This window comes from Homo sapiens, chromosome 13 (genome assembly GCF_000001405.40).
Source record: "Homo sapiens chromosome 13, GRCh38.p14 Primary Assembly".
Classification (NCBI taxonomy): Eukaryota; Metazoa; Chordata; class Mammalia; order Primates; family Hominidae; genus Homo; species Homo sapiens.
In genome coordinates, this window is record NC_000013.11 from 31,343,209 (window position 1) to 31,346,503 (window position 3,295).

Below are 3,295 nucleotides of genomic sequence, written 5' to 3' on the forward strand. Positions count from 1 at the left end.
AAACCGTCTCTTAGACCACAGTGCAATCAAACTAGAACTCAGCATTAAGAAACTCACTCAAAACCCCTCTACATGGAAACTGAACAACCTGCTCCTGAATGACTACTGGGTACATAACGAAATGAAGGCAGAAATAAAGATGTTCTTTGAAACCAATGAGAACAAAGACACAACATACCAGAATCTCTGGGACACATTAAAGCAGTGTGTAGAGGGAAATTTATAGCACTAAATGCCCACAAGAGAAAGCAGGAAAGATCTAAAATTGACACCCTAACATCACAATTAAAAGAACTAGAGAAGCAAGAGCAAACACATTCAAAAGCTAGCAGAAGGCAAGAAATAACTAAGATCAGAGTGGAACTGAAGGAAATAGAGACACAAAAAACCCTTCAAAAAATCAATGAATCCAGGAGCTGGTTTTTTGAAAAGATCAACAAAATTGATAGACCACTAGCAAGACTAATAAAGAAGAAAAGAGAGAAGAATCAAATAGACTCAATAAAAAATGATAAAGGGGATATCACCACCGATCCCACAGAAATAGAAACTATCATCAGAGAATACTATAAACACCTCTATGCAAATAAACTAGAAAATCTGGAAGAAATGGATAAATTCCTGGACACATACACCCTCCCAAGACTAAACCGGGAAGAAGTTGAATCTCTGAATAGACCAATAACAGGCTCTGAAATTGAGGCAATAATTAATAGCTTACTAACCAAAAAAAGTCCAGGACCAGATGGATTCATAGCCAAATTCTACCAGAGGTAAAAGGAGGAGCTGGTACCATTCCTTCTGAAATGATTCCAATCAATAGAAAAAGAGGGAATCCTCCCTAACTCATTTTATGAGGCCAGCATCATCCTGATAACCAAAGCCTGGCAGAGACACATCAAAAAAAGAGAATTTTAGACCAATATCCCTGATGAACATCAATTCAAAAATCCTCAATAAAATACTGGCAAACCGAATCCAGCAGCACATCAAAAAGCTTATCCACCATGATCAAGTGGGCTTCATCCCTGGGATGCAAGGCTGGATCAACATACGCAAATCAATAAATGTAATCCAGTATATAAACAGAACCAATGACAAAAACCATATGATAATCTCAATAGATGCAGAAAAGGCCTTAGACAAAATTCAACAACGCTTCATGCTAAAAACAATAAATTAGGTATTGATGGGACGTATCTCAAAATAATGAGAGCTATCTATGACAAACCCACAGCCAATATCATACTGAATGGGCAAAAATTGGAAGCATTCCCTTTGAAAACTGGCACAAGACAGGGATGCCCTCTCTCACCGCTCCTATTCAACATAGTGTTGGAAGTTCTGGCCAGGGCAATCAGGCAGGAGAAGGAAATAAAGGGTATTCAATTAGGAAAAGAGGAAGTCAAATTGTCCCTGTTTGCAGATGACATGATTGTATATCTAGAAAACCCCATCGTCTCAGCCCAAAATCTCCTTAAGCTGATAGGCAACTTCAGCGAAGTCTCAGGATAAAAAATCAATGTGCAAAAATCACAAGCATTCTTATACACCAATAACAGGCAAACAGAGAGCCAAATCATGAGTGAACTCCCATTCACAATTGCTTCAAAGAGAATAAAATACCTAGGAATCCAACTTACAAGGGACGTGAAGGACCTCTTCAAGGAGAACTACAAACCACTGCTCAATGAAATAAAAGAGGATACAAACAAATGGAAAAACATTCCATGCTCATGGATAGGAAGAATCAATATTGTGAAAATGGCCATACTGCCCAAGGTAATTTATAGATTCAATGCCATCCCCATCAAGCTACCAATGACTTTCTTCACAGAATTGGAAAAAAACTACTTTAAAGTTCATATGGAACCAAAAAAGAGCCCACATTGCCAAGTCAATCCTAAGCCAAAAGAACAAAGCTGGAGGCATCACACTACCTGACTTCAAACTGTACTACAAGGCTACAGAATAGAGCCCTCAGAAATAATACTGCATATCTACAACCATCTGCTCTTTGACAAACCTGACAAAAACAAGAAATGGAGAAAGGATTCCCTATTTAATAAATGGTGCTGGGAAAACTGGCTAGCCATATGTAGAAAGCTGAAACTGGATCCCTTCCTTACACCTTATACAAAAATTAATTCAAGATGGATTAAAGACTTAAACGTTAGACCTAAAACCATAAAAACCCTAGAAGAAAACCTAGGCAATACCATTCAGGTCATAGGCATGGACAAGGACTTCATGTCTAAAACACCAAAAGCAATGGCGACAAAAGCCAAAATTGACAAATGGGATCTAATTAAACTAAAGAGCTTCTGCACAGCAAAAGAAACTACCATGAGTGACCAGGCAACCTACAGAATGGGAGAAAATTTTTGCAATCTACTCATCTGACAAAGGGATAATATCCAGAATCTATAATGAACTCAAACAAATTTACAAGAAAAAAACAAACAACCCCATCAACAAGTGGGCGAAGGATATGAACAGACACTTCTCAAAAGAAGACATTTATGCAGCCAACAGACACATGAAAAAACGTTCATCATCACTGGCCATCAGAGAAGTGCAAATCAAAACCACAATGAGATACCATCTCACGCCAGTTAGAATGGCAATCATTAAAAAGTCAGGAAACAACAGGTGCTGGTAAAGATGTGGAGAAATAGAAACACTTTTACACTGTTGGTGGGACTGTAAACTAGTTCAACCATTGTGGAAGACAGTGTGGCGATTACTCAGGGATCTAGAACTAGAAATACCATTTGACCCAGTTATCCCATTACTGGGTATATACCCAAAGGACTATAAATCATGCTGCTATAAAGACACATGCACACGTATGTTTATTGCGGCACTATTCACAATAGCAAAGACTTGGAACCAACCTAAATGTCCAACAACGATAGACTGGATTAAGAAAATGTGGCACATATACACCATGGAATACTATGCAGCCATAAAAAATGATGAGTTCATGTCCTTTATAGGGACAAGGATGAAGCTGGAGACCATCATTCTCAGCAAACTATCGCAAGGACAAAAAACCAAACACCACATGTTCTCACTCATAGGTGGGAACTGAACAATGAGAACACATGGACACAGGGAGGGTAACATCACACACCGGGGCCTGTTGTGGGGTGGGGGGAGGAGGGAGGGATAGCATTAGGAGATATACCTAATGTTAAATGACGAGTTAATGGGTGCAGCACACCAACATGGCACATGTATACATATGTAACAAACCTGCATGGTGTGCACATGTACCCTAAAACTTAAAGTA